This window comes from Homo sapiens, chromosome 13 (assembly GCF_000001405.40).
Source record: "Homo sapiens chromosome 13, GRCh38.p14 Primary Assembly".
In the NCBI taxonomy this organism is placed as follows: Eukaryota; Metazoa; Chordata; class Mammalia; order Primates; family Hominidae; genus Homo; species Homo sapiens.
Window position 1 is genome coordinate 55,952,520 of NC_000013.11, and position 3,187 is coordinate 55,955,706.

Below are 3,187 nucleotides of genomic sequence, written 5' to 3' on the forward strand. Positions count from 1 at the left end.
CAATGGGGAAACGATTCCTTATTTAATAAATGGTGTTGGGAAAACTGGCTATCCATATGTTGAAAACAGAAACTGGACTCCTTCCTTACACCTTATACAAAAATTAACTCAAGATGGATTAAAGACTTAAACATAAAACCTAAAACCATAAAAACCCTAGAGGAAAACCTAGGCAATAAAATTCAGGACATAGGCAGAGGCAAAGACTTCATGATGAAAACACCAAAAGCAATTGCAACAAAAGCCAAAATTGACAAATGGGATCTAATTAAACTAAAGAGCTTCTGCACAGTGAAAGAAACTGTCATCAGAGTTAACAGGAAACCTACAGAATGGGAGAAAATTTTTGCAAGCCACCCATCTGACAAAGGTCTAATATCCAGAATCTACAAGGAACATAACAAATTTACAGGAAAAAACAAGCAAACAACCCCATTAAAAAGTGGGCAAAGGATATAAACAGACACTTCTCAAAAGAAGACATTATGCAGCCAACAAACATGAAAAAAAAGCTCATCATCACTGCTCATTAAAGCAATGCACATCAAAACCACAATAAGATACCATCTCATACCAGTTAGAATGGTGATTATTAAAAAGTCAGAAAACAAAAGATGCTGGTGAGGATGTGGAGAAATAGAATGCTTTTACAGTATTGGTGGGAGTGCAAATTAGTTCAACCATTGCAGAAGACTGTGTGATGATTCCTCAAGGATCTAGGAACAGAAATACCATTTGATCCAGCAATCCCATTACTGTGTGTATACCCAAAGGACTATAAGTCATTCTACTATAAAGATACAGTATTGAAGCACTATTTACGATAGCAAAGACTTGGAACCAACCCAAATGCCCATCAATGGTAGACTGGATAAAGAAAATGTGGCACACATATACCATGGAATACTATGAAGCCATTAAAAATAATGAGTTCATGTCCTTTTTAGGGACATGGATGAAGCTGGAAGCCATCATTCTCAGCAAACTAATACAGGAACAGAAAACAAAACAACGCATGTTCTCATTCATAAGTGGGAGCTGAACAATGAGAACACATGGACACAGGGAGGGGAAGATCACACACTGGGGCCTCTCGGAGTGTGGGGGGATAAGGGGAGGGAGAGCATTAGGACAAACACCTAATGCATGCAGGGCTTAAGACGTAAATGACAGGTTGATGGGTGCAGCAAATCACCATGGCACATGTATACCTATATAACAAACCTGAACGTTCTGCACTTGTATCCCAGAACTTAAAGTAAACCAAAAAAAAAAAAAAAAAAGAAAGAAAGAGAAAAAAAAGAGGGAGAAAATTGAAAGTTTAATTGTATATTCCAAAGTACTGGGGTCTTTTTTGTAGTTTTTTTTTTTTTCAGTTAAAACTATGTCAATTTTTAAAAGTGGAAATATTTAAAATTATCAAAGAGAAGTCATAGATTGCTAAGAATGAAAATAACAAGAAACTTGCTGAACTAATTAAGAGGAGACTGCAAATAAGTATGTTTCTTAAGGTAATAGAAGAGGAGTTAAATTCAGAGAAACTCTTAAATGTTGTTAATGGGTTAAATTTGGGTTTATTGCTAACAAATGCACACAACTGGATTTTTTTTTTCTTGATTCCGTTCTGGAAAAAATATGAACAATCATCTGCGCCATCTGCTGATGACCATCTGTTGAGGGAAGGGAGTGGTATCATATTTGTTTAACAAACACTTTAAAAAAACTAAACAGAGGAAAAAGTGTTCAGGAAACTGCTACATTTAGCACAAAGAAATGAAAATAACTGTCATCAGAATAATTTGCAAAGCAATGACCTAATTTTTAAATAGTGATTGGGGAAAAATTTTATATTGGTAGAAAATTAAGTCAACGTATCAATGTCAGATTTACAGAAAGCTTTTTTTCAAATATTGAATACATTTGAGGATGCTATTGTATGATATTCTTATCTAAACATATCACTAAAATTAATATTTTATGGTAATAATTTTTATTAACTAAATGATATTTTTATTTTTATCAATTTATTTTGCCTTATTTTTTAACATAAACTCACTGCTTTCTTGTTTTTAATTGAAAGAATAAAGAATACATGAAAGGTGAGAGGAAATGACAGAGAATTATACCATCTGTTTTCATTGACTGAAAGTAACTAAATTTAGCAAATACTATTGGTGCAACTGAGAAATTTTCAATATTATTATATTTTAGCATTTGGAAGACTGAAGGAAAATATGCTTCTTATAAGTGAGAAAAGTAAAAGTAGCTTTAATTTTAGGAGAAATTAGTATTTAGATTAATAATTATGTATAGGAAATGTGTGACTTGTTACATTTTATATATTTTTATATTTCCATGACACTACAAGTTCCTGATTTATACCTCCTTTTTGCCAGCTTTAATCTTTATGGTTGGTTCTCTTTTATTTATTTACAAATTTCAAATCATAAAATATTCCAAACTCACAGAAACTCACCTTTTACCCTCTTTTCTATTACTCTACAAATCTTCAGGGATATTTTCAGCCCTATATATGTCTCTGTTTGTAGCATCTTTGTTCTGATGACTACATAATCCTGCTGTTAAGAGAGGTCTCAAAGTGTGTATCTCATTGACAACTCTAACTCAATGAAACTTCTTATCTACTTTTCAAAATCTACTCTCTCACATATTTTATTCTACTTCATAAAAAAGCTACATTTCTTTATTTGCATAAAGTTGTTTTCCAATTTACCTATGCATTTGCTCTGCATGCTTTACTGTATTAGTGCTTTATTATAAAATGAAAGTGTCAATTTAGGATGTATTAATTGAACCCACATAATTCTAAGTTTGAATAAGAATATTAGAATAAAATTGCAGCATATTTCTTTAAAAAAGGATTAACTCTTTACTATGTACTGAAAAGGCCTAGTAACCCAATGGCAATGTTGAAATTGTGGTGTCTAAATACCACTTCCAACTAAAAGAGATCAGGAGTTTTAGTAGAGGTGACTGATACATAAACTGAAACAGAATATTTTAAAGACGAATCTGGAGTATAATCATAAAATAGAGCAAAAGAGTCATCAAAAGTACTGCAATCATTCACTTTTTTCAATATTATACAGGAATTTGTATTTCATACAATGAAAAAAGAAAAGGAAATAAAAATTATGTGGATCAAGAAGTAAGAAATAGAGCTGCC